At 44.2% G+C, this 26,211-nt stretch overlaps 1 long non-coding RNA gene across 1 annotated transcript; it reads right to left on the reverse strand.

Annotated features, from left to right (window-relative positions):
* Positions 87-25,301, reverse strand: LOC105369501 (uncharacterized). The gene is made up of 6 exons (XR_948024.2): positions 25,196-25,301; positions 15,581-15,748; positions 14,960-15,063; positions 4,016-4,131; positions 1,664-1,757; positions 87-411 (listed from the first exon to the last, which is right to left on the reverse strand). It is a non-coding gene; the product is annotated as an uncharacterized LOC105369501 (long non-coding RNA).
* Positions 25,302-26,211: the final 910 nt, after the last annotated feature.

Here is a 26,211-nt window from a genome sequence, read left to right on the forward strand (position 1 = left end):
GGGAGGTGCCCCGGTCCCCGCCCCTGAGACAGGCCCCGCCCCCGCCCCCCACCAAAGGAGCTGTACCTCCTCGGCGATCCCCGGCCTGAACGGGTAGGAGGGGTTGGGGGATTCCGCCATCCCTTGTTTTGAGGCGGGAACGCAACCCTCGACCGCCCACTGCGCTCCCACCCACACCCAGAGTAATAAGCTGTGATTGCAGGCTGGGTCCTCACCGTCTGCTCGCCAGTCTTCTCCTTTGAGGACTCAGAAGCCAAGGGTTGCGGGAGGCACCACCCATCCAGCAAGTCAGGCAAGGAGAGGAGGTGTTGGAAGAGGTCCGCATCCGTTTTCTGACTTCAGGTCTTGGAATCTATGTAGTCAGTTCTATTGCTGGACTCATCCAAAGGAAAAAGCCTGTTTGGAGTTGACCTGACATGGAAATGCAAAAGGAGGCCTCAGGGGTTCCAGCTCACCCTTGACTCCAAACTGAGGTGTGTGAGGCAGGGAGTGGGGAGAGGGAGAAAGAGATAGAGTGGTGAAGGGTGTTCCGCTGCTACCCTGCCCACTGTCATTTGGGCTGCAGAGGAACCTCGTTCTTCTCCCCTTTTCTTCCTCTCTCCTTTTCTTTCTTTTCTTTTCTTTTCTTTCTTTCTTTCTTTCTTTCTTTCTTTCTTTCTTTCTTTCTTTCTTTCTTTCTCTTTCTTTCTTTCCTTTCTTTCTTTCTTTCTTCCTTCCTTTCTTTTTCTTTCTTTCTCTTTCTTTTCTTTCTTCTGCAGCAATTAGTTACCAACTGTCCTCAGTTTGCCAGATTCTGTGTCAGATTCAGAAGTCACACACAGAAAGAAAACCAGGCCCCTGATCCCGCACCCTGGCAATCCAGAGAGGGGACCCCCAGGGAAATAACTGAGGCTTAAACAGGTGCTGTGAAGCACAAAAAAGCGAGACTTTACAGGAACCGGGCATTGAAGGAGCAACACCAGTTCCCAAGGGGAGAAGGTGGCACAACACTCCAGGGAGAGGGAAGAGCAGGGGCAGAGGACTGACTCTGCAGAGCAGGGAGTCGGCCCTGCATGGCTGGAATCCAGCCTCTCTGGGCCACAAGGATTAACTTCATCTCAGCATTTCCTCCAATGACACACACAATTATAGAAAGTGAGGGCTGGAAAGGACCTTAACATTCATCCAATTCCGCCTCACCTCAGAAGGGAGAACTGAGTCCCAGAGAGATGGAGTGTCCTTGCAAATCCCACAGAGTCCAGCACTGAACCGTCCCCCTCTCCAGAGGCACAAAACAGCACCTCTCTCAAATGCAGCCATCTCTGGAGGCACGGGAGCAGAGGAAGCTGTGGGCTCCCCACCTCACCCCACCATGACTCTTCCCAGCTCCTGCCCCTGGATCTTGCTGATCTGGACTGGCCTCCATTTGCCTGCAGGCTCTATAGGGAGATATTACACCAATAGGAGTCCTAGAATGTTGCCATAATTGCCTTTAAGGGATCAGCCATTACAGATATGGTTGACATCCCAGTGTTTCCCTTGTATACCCTTGGACCATTCTTTCCTAGGTTTAATCCACATAAGGAGATATTTGGTACCTCCCAACTCAGCACCTCTACATAGGTTCAGGGATGGGTCAGACTAGCCAGAGCACCTGGATTGGTGTCCCGCCTTGGTCACCTACCTGTTGTGTGGGCTTGCCTAAATTGCTTGATCTCGCGAAGTCTCAGTTTCTCCATTTTTAAGTGGGGACTAAAAATAACGATCTCTGAGCTTTACTGAGAAAAATAGATGAGGACATGTTAGACAATGGTAATATGGGCCATCTCTGGCTGCTCTGGGGTGGGGAGGGGAGCCCTGTTCATCAGGAGGCAGAAGCAGGAAGAAGATGAGCTCCATAAGGTGCACCCACCCAAGGACACTGTAGCTCTGCGCTGCCTTTTTTACCCCAATCTTACATGGCTGAGTGGATTTCATGCTGGCTGTGAGTGAGACGGATGGATCTTTTAGTTTTCAATTAGCAAACGCCTCACTCTTTAAACAAGCGGCACAGCAAACAGATGCACTGTGTGATTGATGACAGGGAACATCTGCGGCCAAGCAGCGGCTGCACCAGAGGCTCCCAGCTTCCTGGGCTAGCAGGGCCCTCTGGAGGTCGTTTGGTGCCTCCCCCTGCCTCTAGGCAGGAGTGTGCCCAGTCCAAGTGGGCGGGGTGGGGGCAGGGTGTCCCTTTGCCTTATAGCTTTCCTGAAAAAGGATCTACAACAGCCTCTTTGAATTCTTTACCTCCTTGGAGTCAGGAAGTTCCACCTGATGTACCTCCTAAATCTTTCATTTATTTCTACCCTTTTCATTGTTGAAAGTTGTAAGGAAATAAGTAGTAGTGGGTATTAGGGGTTGTCTTAGTCCATCTGGGATGCTATTAATATAACAAAATACTGTAAACTGTGTGGTTTACAAACAGAATTTATTTCTCACAGTTCTGGAGGCTGGGAAGTCCAATATTAAGGTGCTGGCAGAGTTGGCGTCTGGTGAGAGCCAGCTTTCTGTTTCATAGATGGTACTTTCTCACTGTGTTCACACATGGTGGAAGGGGTGGATGAGTGCTCTTGGGCCTCTTTTACAAGGGGACTCATCCATCCTATTTATGAGGGCTGTGTCTTCTTCTGTCCTCATGACCTCCTCACTGCCCAAAGGCCTCACTTTCCCTTTGTTTTGTTTTGTGTTTTGTTTTGTTTTGTTTTGTTTTTACAGAGTTTTGCTCTTGTTGCCTAGGCTAGAGTGCAGTGGTGCTATCTTGGCTCACCGCAACCTCCGCCTCCCGGGTTCAAGTGATTCTTCTGCCTCAGCCTCCCGAGTAGCTGGGATTACAAGTATGCGCCACCATACCCAGCTAATTTTGTATTTTCAGTAGAGATGGGGTTTCTCCATTTTGCTCAGGCTGGTCTCGAACTCCTGACCTCAGGTGATCCGCCTGCCTTGGCCTCTCAAAGTGCTGGGATTACAGGCTCACTTTCTAATTTTATAATCCTGGGGCTTAGGATTTCAACATATGAATTGGGGGGAGCAAAGACATTCAGGCAGGGCTAGGAAATGAGTTAGGGACAGATGGGGGTTTTGTTGGCCCATTGTAAGAGAAACAAAGGAGAAAGCCAACAGAGAATAAGGGAGAGCTAGAACTTCCTCCCGAGCTCCAAGAACTGCTCGCTGCAGCTTAGAAAGAGGGGGGACCCTTGCTGATCTCCTTCAAACTCTGATGTACCCCCAGAGAGAACAGACTGTCACAGTCCCCTTCTAAAAATCATCTCACAGAAAACAAGGGAAATGCTCTCATCTGAAAGGTGGGGAAGGCAGAGCGGGGTCATGTCAGTAGCAACACTGGAGTCACACAGAAGTTTGTTCCCATCTAAACTCCACAACCTTGGGAAATTCTGAATGGCTCCGGGGCTCAGTTTTCTGGATTGTGAAATGGGGATGGAGAGCCACATTGCAGTGCTATCATGAAGAATAAGTGGGAACGACAGCCCACACATATTGATATTCCATGGGTCTTCCCCCCTTACAGAAAACTTCAACTGGAGAAGTGACGCAGGAAATATAGACATCTTCTATATGGTGTTACAGTTCTCCATTTCTTAACCCACTTTGTAGATAAAAACTGAGCCCCCATTTCCAAGCTCTTGGAATTTCTCTTTTCTCATCCTCTTCTTTTGTCTTAGTTCTTGTGCCATTTGCAAATGACTTGGGGAGCAGTAGAACATCAATCTATCTGGGTCAAAGGAAGTATGGGGCAAAAAAAAATCATCTCTTTTGTACTTTATTACATCCCTCAAATGCAGAAAACCTTAGAGAGGTGTGGAATTCTTGGATATTGTTGTTATTGAGGGATCTACAGCCCCATGTAGGATAATCTAGGGAAGGGACTGAAGGTAGTCGAGATGGTAGACCCCAGAGAAGGGTGGGCAAGGGGAGAATCTTCTGAGAAGGACAGAAGTTCAGGGCACTGTCCAACCAAGGCAGGAGAGCAGAGAGTTACCTGAGGGTTTTGACATCTGCGTGTGTAATCACCCTTAGAAAATGATTTCCTCACTGGTAGACTCTAATGGGCCTTTCCACCTGGGTGTGAAATGGACATTTGTTCTTTGCTGCCTCCTATTTTGAAAGAGTAAAGAGAATACAGGGATGACTCACTTTAAGAAATTCTGTTACACAGTTCTTCAGAGTTACAGAACAGATAACTCAGAGTGCAATTATTCATATTAGAAATTTAATTGCTTGATGGGAAGAGGTCATAAAAATATACACCTCATTTCCACACCTATGTTCATAGCAGCACTATGCACAATAGCCAAAAGGTGGAAACAAGCCATGTGTCCATCAACATGGATAAACAAGATGTGGTATTTACATGCAAAGGAATATTATTAGGTCTTAACAAAGGAGAGAAATTCTCACACCTGCTACCTCATGGAATCTCGAAGACATTGTGCCAAGTGAAATAAGCCAGTTACAAAAGGACATATACTGTACAATGCCACTTATATGAGGTATCTAGAGTCAATCTACAGAGACAGAGAGTGAATTGGTGGTGGCCAGAGGCTGGAGGCAGGGACAAATGGGGACATATTTGATGGGTATGGGGTTTCGGTATGAGAACATGAAGAATGTTCTAAAGTGGAGTGGTGGTGATGCTTACACAACAATATGAATGTACTTAATGCTACTGAACTATGCACTTAAAATGCGTGGTGGTTCACGCCTGTAATCCCGGTACTTTGGAAGATCGAGGCTGGCTCTAAAGTGGAGCGGTAGTGATGCTTACACAACATGAATGTACTTAATCCTACTGAACTATGCACTTAAAATGCGCAGTGGCTCATACTTGTAATCCCAGCACTTTGGAAGGCCGAGGTGGGTGGATCACCTGAGGTCAGGAGTTCGAGACCAGCCTGGCCAACATGGTGAAACCCCATCTCCACTAAAAATAAATTAGCCGGGCATGGTGGTGGGCTCCTGTAATCCCAGCTAGTTGGGAGGCTGAGGCAGGAGGATCACTTGAACCGGGAAGTGGAGGTTGCAGTGAGCCGAGACTGTGCCATTGCACTTCAGCCTGGGCAACAAGAGTGAAATTCTGTCACAAAAAAAAAAAAAAAAAAAAAAAAAAAATCTTGTGTTTCAGTGGTTACTGCAGTTGCCAATCTATGTGAAAACAAAGTAAAACATCTCGTAAACTACCAAGTAAATAGGTGGGAAAGTGATCAAAGTTAGAAAACAATCTACATATAACTTCTGAAGTTGTATTTAGGTAAGTACAATCTACTGCCTTGAAGTTCTTCAGTCCTTTCCATAGATGACAAAGCACTTTCTCATCTGTGATCTTATTTACCTTCCAATAGTCTTGTGATGGCAAGAATGTTGTTAATTTGGGGAGAGCACTTGGAAGATTATGAGGATGAGAGCAGGCAATGAAACTAGGATGTTAGATTTCAGAAAGTCTGCAAATGCAAGGACCATTCAACCATTCAGTTTCTGAATGGAGCTGTGCAGTTCAAAGAAAGCTCTCAATGGAGAAGAAAAACTCAGTCTCGGCTCCTTCTTTATTGAGGGTGAGTGAATAAGGAGCAAAGGCATTTTTAGTCTATAACCAGCAGCACTTGGGGTTCTTCTGCTCACACCTGACCCTCTGGCTGTGTTTCTCATCTCTGAGGACCACACCATCCAACTGTTCATACCCCCTCTTCCTCCAACACAATCAGGGTAGCAGTTGGGAACACGAATGTGAGAAACAAACAATTCTGACAGTTTAAGCAGAAAAGGAATTCATGGAAAATATTGTAGTAGCTCACAGAATCATAGAGATTAGAGAACCAGACTTGTAAAACAGGCAGGGAGAATAAAGCTAGCTACTGTTAGGCTTTCAACCAAAATCAAGCTGGAGCAGCAGTCCAGTGAGAACTTAGCTATCATAGCTAAATACAGGGCACCAGATGGCATCTCCACCTTGGCTGGTACCAGACACTGGCAACCCTCTGGCACCCTGTTATGCTGTTCCTGGAAAACTGAAAGTTGTGGCTACTGGTACTACCTCTAGGATTGATTCTCCAGAGTCCTTGCTTCTCTGAGTCACTAGCTCCTCAGTCAAAATCTGAGGCAGCTGCCACTCATTGGTTGAGCAGGGCTATGAGCTGCACCTTTCAGTGGGGTGAGGGCTCTGCCTGCCACCAAGACCCACACAGGGATTCTACAGTATAGGAAGAGGACAGAGGTGGTGCAGCGAAACAACAAATCACCATATCCCGGATCCAAAGGAAAAAATAAAGCCGAGCTCTGCTTATTCTACTTTCTGAATGCTACACAGATCCACCCACTCACTCCACCCCCACTGCCACCACTCCAGTCCAGCCATCATCTTGTCCCATGCAGATGATTATGAAGCCTTCTGCTGCTGTCCTTACTCCAGCCCATGTTCCACACTGCAAAACAATGCTGCCTCTTAAACATAAATCTGATGATGTCATCCTACTTACTCCCCTTCAAAGCCTTTCCTGTTGCCTTTGAGATAAATTCTAATCATGCTAACACCACATCCATCCTTGCCTCTTTCCAGCCTCATTGCTGGTACTTGCCCCTCCCAGTGAGTGAATCAATAAATGAATCAATGAGGTTTGGAAAGGGTGGCAGAGATGACCTACTCCAGAGTTTCCCATATGTCAATCTTTGGATTGGATTTAATAGAAATCCCTGGGAAACTAAAAGAAAAATATAGATATGGGGGCCCAATGCCAGAACCGTTACATTATAATTTAAGGGGTCGGGGTTAGCCTTCTGTATTTCTAAAAAGCCAACCAGTGATACTGAACACCAAGCAGCAGGGGAAGCACTGAAATAATCCCTACCCCTCATTTCGCATATGTGGGAGTTGAAGCCCAGAGAGGTTAAATACTCAATGCACATGAATCGAGTTTGGTGTTGTAATGAAGCAAAACTTTGAGCAAAGTTAATCTGACACATTTAGTGCTATACATAATCATTATTGTGCTATATGGTAATTAGGCATAAATAGTGGGTAAGCTATTCAGAGGGAGGACTATTATTACAGTTATAGAAACCAAGTATTTGTGGGGGTCATACCAGGGGGGAAGGAAAGGAGCCATTGAGAAAGGTTGGGGTGTTGCTCTGAGACCCCATAGAGCCCTCCAGGTCTGTCACCTGCACCTGGTCAGAGCTGATGACGGGTGGGTCTGCCCACAAAGCTGGAGAGTCAGGTGGGAGCTGGGTTGCTAGGAGATGGTTCAAGGCAAGCTCTCAGTCAAGATGGGGGAAAGACAAGACAGCCCCTTTGTCCAGCCCCTTCATCCAGTGAGGGAGGGACTGGGATGTGTGGGAAATCCTGTGAGGATGGAAGAAAAATCATTGCAGACCTTGAGTCCTTCTCCTGCAGGAAAAAAGTGAGGGATGAAATTTAAAGGAACCCCTTTCTCTGCCTTCTTCGAGCAGAAGCATCTTCCTCACACTTTGGGATCACCTGTTGTCTCCTGGGTACTTGTTCCAGGTCCACCTCCAGACACATACTACCATTGTCTGAAATGCCTGAGAGCCCTCTTCCCTGCATCCATACATCCATTTCCTGCTGGTTTTTCAAGGCCCAACTCACATAGTTGAGTTCCATGAGGCCTTTCCTCATTTCCCGCACCCCAGTATTAATAAAGAGCTGTACCTCTTTGTGACATTGATTACACTGTCATTTGTGTTCCTGTCTTGCTTCTCAACTAAAGTGTGAAATCCTACAGCTCACCTGTGTCCCTCCATGCCCCCAGCACAGAACCTGACACAGGGCAGACTCGCAACAAGTGTCTGTTAAAAGAAACCTCCCCAATTACTTAGTCCCAATTAATAATTTGGCTCAGTGAGCAAATGTAAGGGTGGAAATTTAAGGGTGATTTTTCTGTTACACATACCTGAGTGTGAGCTGGTTAACAGAGATTGCTTTCCAGGCACTGGGGGTGTGAAAGTTTTGATGGAGGGAGGGATGGGGAGAAGACATCCTTTTGCTCAGCATCTGGATAGATGGGGGCTGTACAGGTGGGCCTGACTGCAGGGGTTTTTGAAAGTAGATAGATGATGCCAGATATCTTGTGGATATAAGAAAGAAGAAAAGGAGAGAGGAGGTGGGAGGTGGCAGAAGAATGGCAGAAGATGGAGAGAGGGAAGAGACCAAAGCCTTAACTGGCCGTCTTTGTACTTCAACATGCTTGTGCTTTGGGCACCGCCCCTTCTCATTTTCAGAGATAGGTTAGAAAGGGGCCAGCCCACTGGTCACCCCAGCCCTGTCTGCACTCCTGGTCTGTTTGGATTAGAGAGAAGGGGCCCAGAAGTCCCAGAGCAGAAATTTCTTTGTCCATGTTCCCAGCCTTCCCTCAGAGCCAGGGACTGACTCTTCCATTTGATTCACCTTCCCTCAGATCTACTTGTAAAAGTTTTTGTGGTAATTATATGTGATCCTGTCTATGGGAACACCTTGAGAAAGATTGCCTGGGCCCTAGGAAGTACTCTGTAATTGGGGTTTGCTATTTTTAGTGATGTGCCTGACCTCTCAGGCAGGCGAGTTAGTAGGAGCTGTGAGGTAAGCCCATCTGCTTCCATGAGTATGCCCTTCGCCCTTGTGACTGTCACAGAGTGCATGTGAAGCTCTCCACCTAGGGAGACGGCATCCCTCCTCACCCTTCCCCACACTTCCCAGCTCCCAGCAGTATCCAGCAAACCTTCCCAGAGGGGCCGTCTGATCTCTGCCACTCAGGTTGGAAAACTGAGAAGCACCTGGATTTCCCTGAGCCCTTCAGATAATCCTATAATCACCTATAGGCAATTTCATTTGCTTATGTCATGACAGTCTTAAGTATAGTTTAGGGCAAATTGGTGCTCAGCCAGACAGGTGGGGAAAGCCACCCTGCCTCAGGGACATCAGCAGTAATACATTCCCACCATGCCAGCCGAGGAGGGCGGGGGATTTCTGAGCATGGCTGCTCCCTGTTGGGCTCTGCAGGGGCAGCTCCAGCTTTCATTCCTGCCTAGCTCAGGCCTCATCCTCTCCCACTTGGACTATTTAATTACCTCCTCACTGCTCTCTCTGTCTCTAGACTTACCCATTGATCCAGCTTGGGCCTAGCCTCCAGAGGGCCATCCACATACAGACATGATCACATTGGACGTCTCTTAAAACCCTTCAAGGCTTGCCCATTGGCCACACAGTGAAGTGTGCGCCTCTGTCTGCTCCCAGCCTGCCATGGCCTGCCTTCTCCATCCACATCTCCAGTCGCATCTCTCACGATGTTTTACCTCCCACTTCACAGCAATGCCTGACCTTACCATGGGCACTTGCATTCATGTTTTCTTCTACCATTCCCTCTGGCTGGGATGTTATTCCCTCCTTACTTAGCCTGACTCTCACTTAACTTTCTGGAGGGGCCCAGGCCTCCTTCTCCCCAGAAAGTCTCAGATGGGGCCCCCAGAGCCCTTGGGCACACTATCTAATCACACTTCACATTATATTGAAATTACTGGAAAATACTTTGTTATCCATCTTTAGTTTCTCGGTGCCTTACATGGTGCTAGAAGCAGAGAAGATCACTTAATAAATGTTGAGCTGCTGTTGTACATCAACAGCAACCAAGCTGAGAATCAAATCAAGAACTCAATCCCTTTCACAATAGCTGCAAAATAAATAAATAAATAAATACAATACTTAGGAATATACCTAACCAAGGACATGAAAGACTTCTACAAGGAAAACATGGCTACAAAACACAGCTGAAAGAAATCATAGACAACACAAACAAATGGAAATACATCCCGTGCTCACGGATTTGTAGAATCAATATTGTGAAAATGATCATACCGTGGCCGGGCGCAGTGGCTCATGCTTGTAATCCCAGCACTTTGGGAGGCCGAGGAGGGCAGATCATGAGGTCAGGAGATCGAGACCATCCTGGGTGACACAGTGAAACCCCGTCTCTACAAAAAATACAAAAAATTAGCCAAGCGTGGTGGCGGGTGCCTGTAGTCCCAGCTACTTGGGAGGCTGAGGAGGTAGAATGGGGTGAACCCGGGAGGAGGAGCTTGCAGTGAGCCAAGATCATGCCATTGCACTCCAGCCTGGGTGACAGAGCAAGATTCCATCTCAAAAAAAAAAAAAAAAAAGAAAAAAGAACTTACTGCCAAAAGCAATCTACAGATTCAATGCAATTCCCATCAAAATACCACCATCATTTTTCACAGAATTAGAAAAAAATTCTAAAATTCATATGGGACCAAAAAATAGCCCGCATAGCCAAAGCAAGACTAAGCAAAAACAGAAACAAAAACAAAACAAATCTGGAGGAATCACATTACCTGACTTCACACTATACTACTAGGCCATAGTCACCAAAACAGCATGGTACTGATATAAAAATAGGCACATAGACCAATGGAACAGAAGAGAGAATCCAGAAATAAAGCCAAATATTTACAGCCAACTGATCTTTGACAAAGCAAACAAAAACATAAAGTGGGAAAGGACACTCTATACAACAAATGGTGCTGGGATAATTGGCAAGCCACATACAGAAGAATGAAACTAGATCCTCATCTCTCACCTTATGCAAAAATCAGCTCAAGATGGATTAAAGACTTAAATCTAAGGCCTGAAACCATAAAGATGCTAGAAGATAACGTTGGAAAAACCTTTCTAGACATTGGCTTAGGCAAAGAGTTCATGACCAAGAACCTAGAAGCAAATGCAACAAAAACAAAGATAAATAGATGGGACTTAATTCAACTAAAATCTTCTGCACAACAAAAGAAATCAGCAGCAGAGTTAACAGAAAATGCACATAGTAGGAGAAAATCTTCACAATCTGTACATCTGACAAAGAACTAATATCCAGAATCTATAAAGAACTCAAACAAACAAACTAGCAAGAAAAAAAAAAATCCCATCAAAAAGTGGGCCAAGGACATGAATAGACAATTCTCAAATGAAGATATACAAATGACCAACACGCATATGGAAAAATGCTCAACATCACTAATGATCAAAATCATTAATGCAAAATGATGCAAATCAAAACCACAATGTGATACCACCACACTCCTGCAAGAATGGCCATAATCAAAAAATCAAAAAATAACAGATGTTGGCATGGATGTGGTGAAAAGGAAACACTTTTACACTGTTGGTGGGAATGTAAACTAGTACAACCACTATGGAAAATCCAGAGTGGAGATTCCTTAAAGAAAATCCCACTACTAGGAATCTACCCAGATGACAAGAAGGCATTATACAAAAAGGATACTTGCACATGCATGTTTATAGCAGCACAATTTGCAATTGTAAAAATATGGAACCAACCCAAATGCTCATCTATCAATGACTGGATGAAGCAAATATTATATATATATATTATATATATATATATATATAATATATATATATATATATAATATATATATAATATATATATATATTATATATATATTATATATATATAATATATATATGATGTGTATATATAATATATATATACATAATATATATATATATATATACACTCATGATGGAATACTACTCAGCCATGAAAAGAAACAAAATAATGGCATTCGCAGCAACCTGGATGGAATTGGACACTATTATTCTAAGCGAAGTAACTCAGAAATGGAAAACCAAACATCACATGTTCTCATTCATATATGGGAGCTAAGCTATGAGGACTCAAAGGTGTAAGAATTGTACATTGGACTTAGGGGACTTGGGGGAGGTATACGTTAAGCATTTCTTAAAGGGGGTAACATGGGATAAAAGACTACACATTGTGTACAGTGTACACTGTTTGAGTGATGGGCACACCAAAATTTCAGAAATCACCACTAAAGAACTTATTCATGTAACCAAACACCACCTATTCCCAAAAAACCTACTGAAATTAAAAAAAAAAAAGAAAAGAATAAATGTTGAGCTAAATCTATCTGCTGAGGACTCTGAATCCTCCCTGAGAGACCTCATGGCTGTGCCCAACTAACCAGGTGGATGTCCTCTGTCCCTCCAAGTTGGACCTTCTTGTTCCCATGATGGCACCACTGACCTGTTACCTGTTGCCCAGGCTTCCACACATCAACTTCTGCCTTCCAGGCTGTCTCGCCTTCCATGCCTTACACCTTCCATCCCCTGGGGTATGCACCCTCAACATCGTGTGACCCATACTGCTGGCTGCCTTCTCTCCCTGGCTGTCTGCCAGCCATAGAGTATAGATTTGCAAAACTCAAACCAGGAAATGTAGGTACCAGCTGAACAGTGCTCAAATTCTAAATTCAAGACCACTGCCAGGGAGGAAAGCCCTGTGCTGGACATCTCAGTTTTGTCCTTCCAGGTCTCCTTTCTGCCCTTCACCCTGCTCACACTCTGGGAGCTGACCCATGTAGACTGAATCAAGGCCCCCTCACACTCTGCCTTCCTGAGCATTGGGTTGGAATACGGGAAGGAAATCAGAGGGAGAGAGAACGAGGTCAGGATCAGTCTCTAGATCACTCCGGGGGCATGGGGGAGCCTGCAACTCTAGGCCACAGGTCACAGCTTCTGTACGCCTCTCGCTCTCACTCTCCTTCTTCCTCCCTCCTGGTAACTGCTCCTTTCTTGGCCCCTTCAGGTCCTTCAAGTTGTAATGGAGCCCCACTGTCACCAGTCCTAAATCGCCCAGGCTGGAGTGCAATGGTGCAATGGCTGACTGCAACCTCCACCTCCCGGGTTCAAGTGATTCTCCTGCCTCAGCCTCCCAAGTAGTTGGGATTACAGGTGCCCACCACCATGCCCAGCTAATTTTTGTAGTTTTAGTAGAGATGAGGTTTCACCAGGTTGGCCAGGCTGGTCTCGAACTCCTGACCTCAGGTGATCCACCCACCTCGGCCTCCCAAAGTGCTAGGATTAAGGCATGAGCCACCATGCCCAGCCGTGGTCTTTTTTTTTTTTCCCTCTAAACTCTTCTCAATTGATCCTATGATTTGCATATGCCTTGCATATGATTTTCGTATGTCTTGCATATGATTTTCATGTGTCCTGCTAGGACTCTGACTGGTAGAGCGCCAAATAAAAAATCCAGCTATTAGGGTAGAGGCTGCTGAGAGTAAGGTGAGGTAAATGAACCCAGTCATCATTATGGATGAAGATCAAGACCCTACAGAAGTTGGGATGCTCTCAAAAGGAGCATGCAGAGAACTGCTCAGTTCCCAGGCCTTGCCCTATGAGAGCTTCCAATGTGGACGGAGATAGGACACAGACCTGCTGCACAGTTGCACAGTCCCCTGCTGCCTCCAATAAGAAACTTCTTCTCTCATCGTTGACAGCCCAGAGCAGACAATCCATGAGGTGGTCTGACTGAAAAGTTCTTTCTCAATGGAGACAATTATGATTAGCTGGACCATTTAGATTTTATCTGTTAGAAATGTAAACTATGAGATTCTTTAAAGAGAATTATTCGGTTGGCATTGGGAGCAGAAACTGATGCAGAGAGAGGTCAAAAGAAGGCAAGAACCATGAGCAATCATGAGTAAGTGATGTTTATGAGTAAACCAAAATTATAAATAAGCCAAAGATATGAGTAGGGTGAGGGCATTGGTCCATATCCTGTAAAGTAGATAACACAAAGAAGCAGACATGTAGAGCAGAAAACACTTCTGTGAAGATGAAAATTGATCCTAATCCCTAGAGTGACTGGAACTTTGCCCAGTCTTCCAGTTCTGGTCTCCAAAAAATCCACCAGGATATTAGTTTCTTTTCTTCTTGCAAGGCCTGATTACTAAACTCTCCCTGGCACTCTTGACATCTGGCCATGTGGTTGAGGTTTCTAATTACCTTATTTCCATGTTCTTCCTTTCAATACTTCTTCCCTTACTCCAAGCACACACACACATACACACTTACTGAAGATGATCAAGAAAGCCTCTAGTCCTTTGCATCAGAAAGGCCTAACACCACCCTAAACTGAAACCCAGTTCTGAACAGTGGTTTCCTTCCTTCTCCTTAAGACTCAGATCCACCCCTTTTGCCCAGATCTGGTGCTCTGAGCTGAGTTTCCTGACTTGCTCACATTACCCACTAAGAGCTCTTTCTAGATCTCTCTCACCTCCATCAACTCAAAGTCAAGACCCGGAAGGGCTACATGAGATGGCAGGACACTGGAACTCAAGAGGGACATGCAGTGCTCTACTTTACCTGGCAGAAGGAGACTTAAATCAAAGGTAGCAAAAGACATGGAAGTCTACTGACAACTGCTTTCCTGAATACCTCCTCTTCACTCTGCTTGTCCTCTCTTTGGCTTCTCCAGCTCCATGGCTCTTCTCATTGCCCCCAAGGTGGTCAGTGCCCTCAGGACTTGGCATAGGCCACTCTGAACCTTCCCACCTTCCTTCTTTGGTATAGAGAGTTTCCCTTTTCCTCTTAAATCAATAAAGAAGTTAGTATTTTGAAACTTTAGAAAACTAAAGGAAAACCAAACACAGCCTAAATGGAAAATAGTGAAAAGGCCAAGCAAGACACATTCTGTTTGTCTAGCACACATTCTTTATCCCAGGGTTCCTGAAGCCTCAGCTCAGGCCACCTTGCCTGGCTCACATTGGCTGGTATAGATTTGGATTTGTATCCAGGTGGGGCCCAGCCCAAGGATTCTTGGTTTTTGCTGGAAATGGCTTCTTTGCCCCTCTCTTCCATGGGCCTCCCTCCACACCCAGCTGGACTGTTCTCCAGCACATCAGTCACTCTAGCTACTCTCAGTCCTCACCCCTGGACACTCCACCTCTCCATGTATTCCCTGGGATCTAGGCTACTGTGTCACAGCCTTTCCCCACCAGGGAGGTTTCTAAGACTGAGAAACCCATCCTTGGCCCTGACATAAGCCTGAACATACTGACTGCCATTGTAAAAGAAGGAAGCCAGCCCTTCCCAACGACTTACTCTCCTGCAGGCTCTGTGGTTCGCACATCAGCAGATATTACTCCATTGAATCCTCACAACAATACTTCAGATTTCACAGATGGTGCGATAAGCTCTGGGAACTGCTGGAAGAGGAAGAACCAGGATCTAGGGCTGGTTCCTGCAAACTCTGAGCCCGATGCTTTGCCACTCATGTTTTTACAGAGCATCTAAGTTAGGAATGGCAAAGTGGTTTCATCTGACATGTCAGTTCTGATTGACTTAGTGGCTGCCTGCAATGCTGTGGTGAGAAGGAGTATGAGGCCACATCTGTGCTCAGTGGGAGAGATCATGATAAACTAGAAATGTCTAGCAGGGGTAATAGCTGGAGGGACTGACAGGCTGTATATGTGCCATATACTTGCCACTGTTGGGCCAAGCCATTTTTGTGGCAGCCACATGGCTTTAGAGGCAGGCACCATTGTCCCCCAAACCTCTTTGCTTTCTATCAATCTCCCACCACATGGAGGAGCATACCTTGGCTCACCCAGGGTTCTAGTCTCAGCTTCGCTACTTAATAGCTGCATGACCTTAGGTAAGTTACTTAACCTCTTTGAGCCTCAGTTGTTTTGTCAGTAATACACAGCTAAGTATAATACTTACCTCAAAGGGTTTCAGTAAGAATCCATTGACGTAAAGCTTGTAGATCACCTGACATAATGCCATGCACAGTGTAGACATCTGACAAATACCAGTTGTTGTTGTTAGCCACCATTCTATCAAAGCCTGTAGCCCACCCTGTTGCATGCGCCAGCTTCCTGTTTCTATGACCTGCCAAGGCAAAAAAAAAAAAACACCCAATCTTCCCAACTGACCCACACTCTCCTTCCCATGCCATGGGATATATGACAGCCCATATGGGGTCTGTGTTTGCCCTGAAATCCCATGACTCTCCGCTCAACTGTTAAACATTTCAAATCCTCCTCCTCCCTATGGGTTCCTCTCTTGTTAATGTGATTATATGTCTGGATTGTTTCATTAAGCTCTTTTTCATAGAATGGCTGGTAGAACATGGAAGCTAATTATCATCTTAATTGGAGAAGACGAACTGGTAAATAATATGTGTTAATTATCAGGGAAAACCCTATAAAGGTTAATGAGAAATCAAAACTCATAAGCAAAGGTTCTTGGATTTCTGGACAGGTAATTCCCAAGCCTTGACAGCAACAGAGGTCAGGTGGCCACGGCCAGGCACCTACTGGGCCTTCCTTTGCGTGGGCCAGAAGATTAGAGCCACTGCTCTTTCTGATGCAGGAGAAGGTAATTCATAAACCTAGTATTTTCTTTAGACATTTATTTATTTTATAAAGCATTTGTCCCTTTTTTGTTGCAGTTTTCCCTCCAACTTTGTTGAGGTATACTTTAAGCATTTCTTAAAGGCCTTATACTTTTCTGGTGAGTTAGGGCTGTTGTTCTCTCCACATGGTAAGAGTACTGGGCACTAACTAAACCCATCGCCAGTGTGCTCTCCTGGCCTTGGATTTCCTCTTTCGAGAATGACCCAGGACCTCTCTCTTGAACGAACTCAGTCTGCCTTGCCCCTGGGCTTAGCTCTCCTCACCCACTCCCTTGGACTTCCTCCCTCACAACGCAAGAGCCCACAGTCTCCTTTAGAATCAACTCTGTGGTAAACAAATGTTCATGTTCCCCCAGATTCCTCAACCAAGTGGCCTCCTCTCTTCCCAGTTTAACTAAAACTTGGCACTTCCCTACAGATATTGACTCTCCTCCAGGTTTCTCAGTTAGTAAACACTCTTTCTTCCACAACCCAGAAATGTCTCATCAGGAGTTCATGGTCTAGGGGCACACAGACAAGTACCCAAACTTTTACAACCCATGTCATTAGAGCTGCACAGAGGGTAGAAAAGAAAAGGTACAGACAGGTACAGACAGAGGGCCCAAAATCCAAATTTGGACATCAGAGAAGTATCCCAATAGAAAGTGACATCAAACTTGATAACAAAAATGGACAGAACTTAGACAAGCAAAGAAGGGGAGAAAGTTTCAATTACTTGGAAAAAGCATCATATTTTAAAAGCACAAATCCCAACAAATTACTCCCTTGCTTAAAATCTTCAATTGTTCCCCATTTTTTAAATCCACACAGCTGCAGGAGGGAACATTATTATCCACCATTTTATCCCCACTAGGCTCATAATAAGAATTTGATAAATATTTGGCAATACAAAAAATTAACATACAAAATACAAAAAAGACTTAACAAGACATTCATAGGTGAAACATTAAAAGCACAAAACAATGTAATTTGCTAAATTCCCTAGAAAACTATTATTTCTTCTTATAACAAAACCAGCATTTGGGTAATGCCTAGTGCAGTGTCACTTGCCTAGTTGGTACTTAACAAATGTTTGTTGAATACATGTAGCGTTTGGTAATTAAGGCACTTAAATTGTAATATTCTGTAATCCTGTGCCCTGTTATTCAATGTCTCCATGAAACAAACAAACAAACAAACAAAAAAACTGACGTTCTTAAAGGGTAAGTAAATTTCACAAGATCACTCAAGTAGTAAGTAGTAAAGTTACAACTAGATCTTATGACTTCCAGTGGCAACATCTATGCTCTTTTCAAGGAGCACATAGAATCTAGATGCATGAAAATTGTAGCATCAGGGAAGCCTTCACACAGGTGAAACTTGATCTGCGTCATGACGGATCAGTAGCATTGGGATAGACAGAAAGTGCAGCAAAGCAGGATTTCCTAGTGAGAGGACCTGCATGAACACAGGGATGGGAACAGGGAAAACACGTGTCTTTCAAGGGACAGAAAGAATGTTGGTCCACTTTAGGCAGAGGGTCCACATCACTGCAGAAGCTCCTTATTCAAAGATCAATTGAATTCAAAGCACTGAATTCAAATAGCAACTCTTTCTCCGTAATAATTCAATAGCATCAGATTGACTCTGATTACAGGTAACCATGGCAAAAAGGAAACATGTTAAGTTTCAGAAAGGAGGAAGTTCACCAGCTTCTCTTTTTCTACTCCAAGGCTCTGCAAGATGGTGATGCACATTTATCATGCTGGGTGTGTGTGCTGAGGTCCTAAAGTGAGCCACATACTAGTAGGACCAGAAGAAGATGTCTATTTCCCCAAAGTTGTGTAAACCCACTGGAATTTATTGATACCCAGAAGGCCTTGAACAGACCTTAGCGTAGTGTTATAAGCTTATCTGCTTGCAGATCCTAATAGGTTAAGAAGCTTCTGAAATAAAACTAGAGAACCAAGAAGGTGGTAGAACAAGAATTAAAGATTTCCATGAGAAGCTGGCGCTGCCTGGGGCTCAGCAACTGGTGCATGTGGCTGGAAATGGTAGCCCGTTGGGGAGGGGAGTGGACACCTTCTGAATAAGCATGCAGAGTTCGTTGGAGCTCATAAATGTCTAAATTGATATTCCATGTCAGTTGCATTTACACTAGCTTCTTCTCAATTTTGAATAATTTCTTCATGCTTGATAGGGAAACCAAGACTTTCCTGGCACTAAATTGTTTAAGCTTACATTTCAGAGATTTTATATTTTATAACTTTCACTTCCTTATTATCCAGGCCATACTTGCACACAGATGAAATATGGTATAAACTACAGTAGAGCAAAAAGGAAAGAATGAAATTCGTCTGCAACCCCAGCACCGAGAGACAAGTACAGTTAACTGGGTATGTATTTTTCCAGAATCTTTGCATAATTTTTAAAATAAAAATAAGATCAAACTGTGCATACAATTTTATTTTATTTTACTAATGTATGTATATATTTTAGAGACAATGTCTCCCTCTGTCGCCCAGGCTGGAGTATACTGCCCTGATCATAGCTCACTGCAGCCTCGAACTCCTGGGCTCAAGCAATCTTCCTGCTTCAGTCTCCTGAGTAGCTGGGACTATAAGCACATTAGCTAGCTGCCATGCTTAGCTAGTGTTCTTGGCTTTCGTGGAGACGGGGTCTCACTATGTTGCCCAGGCCAGCCTCAAACTCCTGGTCTCAAGGCTTCCAAAGTGCCGGGATTACAGCCATGAGCCACTGTGTCCAGCGTGTACATTTTATATTATATATGCTGATTTTTTTTGCAAGGCTCTCCAATATGCTGGTTTTTAATTTGACAATATAACATTCAGCATCTCTTCACATCAATAAATAGTCATCCACAGCATTGTTTTTATAGTCATACAGTGTTCTATTGTGTTGGTGCCACTGGTGATCCATTGTTTGACATCTAAGTTGTCTCCAATCATCAGATATTATAACCATAAATGATGCTTTGGTGAGTCTTTGCATGCATCCTGAATTATTCCCTCAGGGCTCCTTGTCCCTTTCCAGCTTCTTCCTGCTTAAAGCACCTTCACTGTTGCTCCTCTTTCTGGCCAAACTGAACGTCTTCAGGTTTTTTGAACTTGTCACGCTGTTTGCCTCTGTGCTTTTGTACATCCTCATTCCACTGCCTAGCACACTCTCCACTGCCTGAGCACCCTTATCCATTCATCTTTTAGCTCTCAACAGAGACATCACTTCCTCAGATGAGTCTCCTCTGACACCCACCTCCACCACAGACCTCTGCACCTCTCATGTCACCACCGTCACCCACTCTTCATTCTCTTACGGCAGGAATCAGCCTGTGTTGTAGCATCCTGTTGCCCTGTCTTTTTCCTTCACTGAGCTGTAATGTCCACAAGGCTAGAAACCATGTCTGCAGTGGTCAATGTACCTAGAACAGTGCCCAACACATAATAGGTACTCCATGAACATCTGTTTAATGATCAATAAGTACCTTCCTCACTGTAAAACTGCTGCATCAAAGGCATGCCCTTGTTAAGTCTTGTGACACACACCGCTCCCTGGAAAAGCCTTGCCTTTACAGTTTACCTCTACTCCCACAGTGTGCGAGGGTGCACATTTCCCCACATCTTGGATAGTCTTGCAAAAAAATCTGAGAAGACTTTCTTTCCATGGGGCTTTATTTAAAGGGCATCGATTGGAATGATGTGCAGTGGGTTATTCAGGAGTCTCAACGCAGTGGGGTATAAACATGAAAATTAATTTTTTCTAGTCACTGCTTTCTGCTGTGTTCTGTCAAATCCCTTTCTCCCATCCCTTGATATTTTGGGCAGAAAGTGAATAAATATTCCTGTCACTTTCAGTTACTAAAAACTCAGTCCAGTCCATTTAAAACTCCAAATTCATATCTGGTTCAAAGCTCTTCCTTTTGTCAATGTCCCAAACCCCAGGAAGACTGTGGCTTTAGGGACTTGGAGGTGGGGGAGCAGCATGGTCTCCTCCTTCACTTCTCCTCCTCCTCTTCCTCCCTTCTCTGGATCTAGCGGTTCTAGACTTGGGGGCAGGAAGGAAGGATGGGGAGGCAGGAGGCATCTCAGTGTGGCCGAGAGTGATGGTGGTGAGGAGGCATCTCTGATCTCAGCCTGGCTCACCCTGGCTCTGTGGGAGGTTAGTGGACCCCGCTGAGTGGCAGTCTCCACATGGAGGGTGGGGTCTTTTTTTGGAGCAATATTCAGCTCAACCCGGGTCTCCTCTCCTAGAAGGAACCACTTGAAAAGGAGGTGGTAATGCCCCCCTTCAACCTGCACTGTGCCCCCCTCTCTCTGAGTGGTGCCTTCCCGACTTATTCTGGCAACCAGCTGGGCAGCCCGCAGTTCCTGCCCTTCCATTCCATGCCCCTTGTGTGGAACCATAGGCAATACTGTGGACTTCCACTGTGTCCTCCAAGGGCTGCTGAGACCCAGGATGGGGTAACCCCAGTGCTTCTTTCCCAGGCCCTCTGCAGCCCCTTCTCCCTCCACTGGCATGGGCCATCTCCACAGGTCTTAGAGAGTCTCTAGAGCAGAGTGCCAGTGCAGTGGTCTCTGTGATCATGTGTCTTCCCATGGGGAGATAAGGGAATTGCCCCCACCACCAACACTGTAAGGTTGCAGCTCTGGTGCCATCTCCCCATACCATTCCCCAGTCCTCTCTTGGTATCTGCAAGAGTGAGGAGCAGAAGGCAGGACGGAGAGTGGCTTGAAGGGGGAAGGTCAGTTCTGCAACCAGTTTGCAAACCTGTGGTTTACAAACCACATTGCCAGGACATGTTAGCCCTGCTCCCAGGCAGCTCTGTTTAGAATGCAGGCTTCCTCAGTGCCTCTTCTCCTCTGCTTTGGTTTGGGCCTTAGCCACAATTCTGGGGCACCAGAAAAATCCCCCTCATTATTTTGCTGCAGATATAACAGTCATGATCCTCAACAGTATGGTTATGATAATTGCAGAAATAGACTGCACATGGCTATTTCTTGTAGCAGCACTGGATAAAAGCTAAGGGTAAGACTAGGCAATTTGGATTAAAAGGAAAATAGTCACATAAAGCAAGAGAGACAGAGCCTAGAGCCCTGCAGTGTGGGAGTGAGGGAGGGTGAAGAGGGGACAACGAGTTGAGTAGGGGTTCATGTGCCTCTGGGGCCCAGAGGGTCAAGAGACCTCTCTGTCCGCTTTTGTCCACTGTCTGGGGCAATTGGATATCTCTTGCGAAGCAGGGAGGGAGAAAGGGACCCCAGTGAAACCCTCTCACCCTGCCTCAGTCCTCCAAATGTCACATCTATTTGAGCTGATGCTCTGACCAAAGCTCCTCCCTCCTCACTGTCACTGGCCAGAACAATCCATATATTCATTTCCCAGAGCCTGAGCTATTACAGGTGATTGAATAGGTGCAGAAGTGCCCATGGATTGGGAGAGGGATGGCCAGGGATTGTTTCCAGCACCCAGCATCCATGAGAAAAAGCACCTTGGATAGGATCTCAATAAATCAATCACAGTGTGAGGCCCTCCCAGCTCTCTGGCATGGTCTGTTGAAATAAGATCCTCACTATTGCAATTATAGTCAGAGTGTGGGGAGCCTTGGGATTCATTAGTTTTGACTTCAGCAGCACTGATTTCTTGTTTAGTAATTAGCTCACCAGAGCCCCTGATGGCATAATCTTTTCATTTACATAATTAAGACATAAATCTTGAGCCTGGATAGTAGCCAGGGCACTGGGGACTGGACACCAAGGGCAGCAGGTGGTTGACAGCTTGTATTCCCAGTACCACTTTCTCACCAGCTGATCTCATTGACCTCCGTGACTTCAATGGGCTCAGAACTTCTTAGATACATATTTTTGAAAGCTCACGCTAAGGAAATCAATCCATTTAAACTAGGTTTAGAGAAAGGCTGTGATGGTTTTAAAACACGCTCATAATTCCTTTGACACATCTTCCTTCATCAGGTGTAATCTAATTCCCCTTCCTTTCAATGTGGGCCAGATGTAATACTATGCTTCTAATGAGCAGAATATGGCAGAAGTGATGGCGTATGATTTCAGAGTTCAAAAGGCATCACTGCTACTATATCTCTCTCTCTCTCTCTCATCACTTGTTCTAGGGAAGCTGACTACCATGTTGCAATGATACTCAGCCTGTGGAGAGCCCACATTGGGAAAACAGAGGCCTCCTATTGAGGGCCAGCACCAACTTGCCAGCCACAAGAGTGAACCCCCTTCAAAGCAGATCCTCCAGCTCCAGCCAAGCATTCAGATGACTGCAGACCTGGCTGACTTCTTGATTACCACCTCAAGAGAGACCCCACATCAGAAATACCCAGCTAAGCCACTCTCAAATTCCCAACCCACAGAAACTGTGAGGATAATACATGTTTATTGTTGTTTTAAGCCACCAAGTTTTAAGGTAATTTGTTACACACAATCAATAACTAATCCAGAGGGTATTTCTCATCCCAATGCTGCTTCCTCAAGGAAGAAATGGTCCGATATCAAGACCAAGACAACTAAAACTGTCATATTCTTGACCAAGCAACTTCTGTTATAAGAATCTATCTTATACAAATATATTTAAAATGTAAACACACACACAAATGTGCAAAATGCTTGTATAAATGTGTTCATTACAGCATCCTCTGTAATAGTAAAAACAGAAAGCAATTAACGTTTTCATTAATAGAGCTCAATTATATAAACTATGGAGAAAATGGAATAATTCTATGTAAGCGCTAAAAATTGAATTAATAATAAAAAATAAAATTCTATGTAAGCATTAAAAAAATTGAAATAATAATGAAAAAATAAAATTCCTGCTCTCCAAGTCCAGATGGTTTAACCAGTGGGTTTACCAGCGATTTATGAAAGAAATACTCAAATATTTATACCAACAGTCAGGAGGAATTTTAAAAGTGAAAGAACACTTCCAAGCAATAACTTTGACTCCAAAACCTGATAGAAATATTGGAAAAAAAGAGAAAGTATAAGCAAATTTGATCTACAAACATAGGTGCAAAAATTTTCCAAAAAAATTTTAGAAACTAATGTAACCATAAATAAATTGAGTTTAATGCAGAAATGCAAGGCTGATTCAGCCTTAGAAAAAAATCAAAGTGATTTGCCTTACTACTAGGATAAGGAAAAAATTATATGATTATCACAATACATGTAGAAAAATCATTTCATAAAATGCAACATTCATTTATAATTTTAAGGAGTAATCTCCTAGCTGAATAGAAATAGAGAGGGTGCTTTCTTAATGTACTGAAGAATATCTATAAAAATAAATACAAGGCCGGGCACGGTGGCTCACGCCTGTAATACCAGCACTTTGGGAGGCCGAGGCGGGAGGATCACGAGGTCAGGAGATCCAGACCATCCTGGCTAACACAGTGAAACCCTGTCGCTACTAAAAATACAAAAAATTAGCCGGGCGTAGTGGCAGGCGCCTGTAGTCCCAGCTACTCAGGAGGCTGAGGCAGGAGAATGGCGTGAACCCAGGAGGCGGAGCTTGCAGTGAGCCGAGATTGTGCCACTGCACTCCAGCCTGGGTGACAAAGCGAGACTCCGCCTCAAAAAATAAATAAATAAATAAATAAATAAATAAATAAATAAATAAATAAATACAAGACAGAGACATCTGATCTAACAACAGCAGTCCAACATTGTGCTAGAGATCATCTCCAGTGCACTAAGGCAATAAAAATAAATAAAAAGTACAAAGATTGTAAATGAAAAAGTAAAACTATCGCTATTGACTGACAACATTATTGTGCACCTAGGAAATCAAAAAGAATTTTTAATTCAACTATTAGCATTAATAAGAGACTTCATTAAGCTAGATATTAAAGGGTTTTGCAAAAATGTAAAACAATGTCAGCACTCTCTGTGTGATGAATCTTTAAATCATCATTGGGAGAATTAACATCTTTACAATATTGAGTCTTCTAATCTATAAGCAGGATATATAGCTCCAGTTATTAAATCTTTTTAATGTCCTTCAATGAAGTTACAGAGCTTTCCTTGTAGAAGACTTATCCTTCTTAGATATTTTCTTGATATTTTTTGATGCTACATGGAATATTTTTAAAAAGTACTCTAGTCAAGATTCAATATAATTGATAACTTTTCCTGCTTATTAAAGAACATTCTTTTTTTTTTTTTCCTAGACGGAGTCTTGCTCTGTTGCCCAGGCTGGAGTGCAGTGGCACAATCTTGGCTCACTGCAACCTCTGCCTCCCAGATTCAAGTGATTCTTCTGCCTCAACCTCCCAAGTAGCTGGGACTACAGGCATGTGCCACCACGCCCGGCTCATTTTTGTGTTTTTAGTAGAGACAGGGTTTCACCATATTGGCCAGGCTGGTCTCAAACTCCTGACCTCGTGATCCGCCTGCCTTGGCCTCCCAAAGTGCGGGGATTACAGGCATAAGCCATCGCATCCAGCATTAAAGAACATTCTTAAGTGAAACTGGAATTTTTTAAACTGTGGCACATTGTGGTGAATAATATGATGACTACTAGTACAGTCTGGTACCACTAACTTGATTCATGCTAAGGCATCAGCAGTTTTGCCACCACTGTTTTTGCACCATCGGTGCAACTGTCAACTTGGTGAAAAGAGTAAACAATGTCTTATAAAAATTTTCATCTCATGAATGTCTTAGGGATCCCTAGAGGTAGCACACATACTTTGAAAACCACTGCTGAGGAAAAATGAATGCCAATGGGTACCAGGAAACATCCATAAGAATGTTTGCAGAGCATTGCTTAAAGTAGTCGTGAATTGGAAATAACCTGAAAGTTCTTCGGCTATAGAACTGATAAATGAACTATTCTTACCAATAAGAATTAACAAATAAGCCGTACTCACCAATGGAATAATATATAGCAATAAAAATTAAATTGCTGACCAGATATGGTGACTCATGCCAGTAATCCCAGTGCTTTGGAGGGCCAAGGTGGAAGAGTCGCCTGAGCACAGGAGTTCAAGACCATGCTGGGCAACATAGCAAGATCTTGTCTCTACAAAAAAAAAAATTTTTTTTAATTAGTTGGGCATAGTGGAGTGTACCTGTAGTCACAGCTATTCAGGAGGCTGAGATGGGAGGCTGGCTTGAGCCCAGGAATTCGAGGTCTCATTAAGCTATGATTGCATCAATGCACTCCAGCCTGGGTAACAGACTGAGACCCCAACTTAAAAGAAAAAATGGTAATTGCTAACCGTTATATGAAACAATATGCAGTAATACCACAAGCAAGACGTCCCTGCTGGTGGCACCTGGAGGGCACATCTGAGGCCTCAGGTGCTCCTAGGGATTATGAAGACAGAGAACAGGCTTTATTCTCCTTAGATCCAGGCAAGAGTAAAGTTTCCAGCAACAGAGGACCAGATTTTTATTTCCTTGAGCCTGGAGAAAAGACAAAGACTTTTTATACTTTTCAGAGAGGTAAGGTGAGCTTAGCCAGCAGAAGATGGTGAATCTGCTTGGAGAGGGACTGTAGTTGCCTGTGTTATTTGGTTCTAAAAAGGAGAATTTGTCCAATCCTACTGTTTCTGATGGTCCAGGAGGAAAAGTGCACTGGTGGAATTTCTCCAAGGACTTTCTATTAGTAGACTGAGGTGCAAGAAAATATCCCCTCGACCTTTAACAGAAGATAATGAATTATCCGTTCAATCATCTCTGGTTCAAATAGGCAGAAATCATTGCGTGTTCCACTATTTGTCAATTTAACACCATCAGTAGAAACCTCACCAACCTGCCCTCTGTGAGGATGAAGGAATCGCAAACCATGAGAAGGTAAAATAATATTACAAATCTTTTAAGGGCACTCTGGAAGGGCTGATGGATGAGACATATGAGAATATTAATTTTAAAAAGTGGTGAGGGCAGTCAAGGAGATACAATGTGAGCACAAAGAGATGTTC

This window comes from Homo sapiens, chromosome 11 (genome assembly GCF_000001405.40).
Source record: "Homo sapiens chromosome 11, GRCh38.p14 Primary Assembly".
Lineage (NCBI taxonomy): Eukaryota > Metazoa > Chordata > Mammalia > Primates > Hominidae > Homo > Homo sapiens.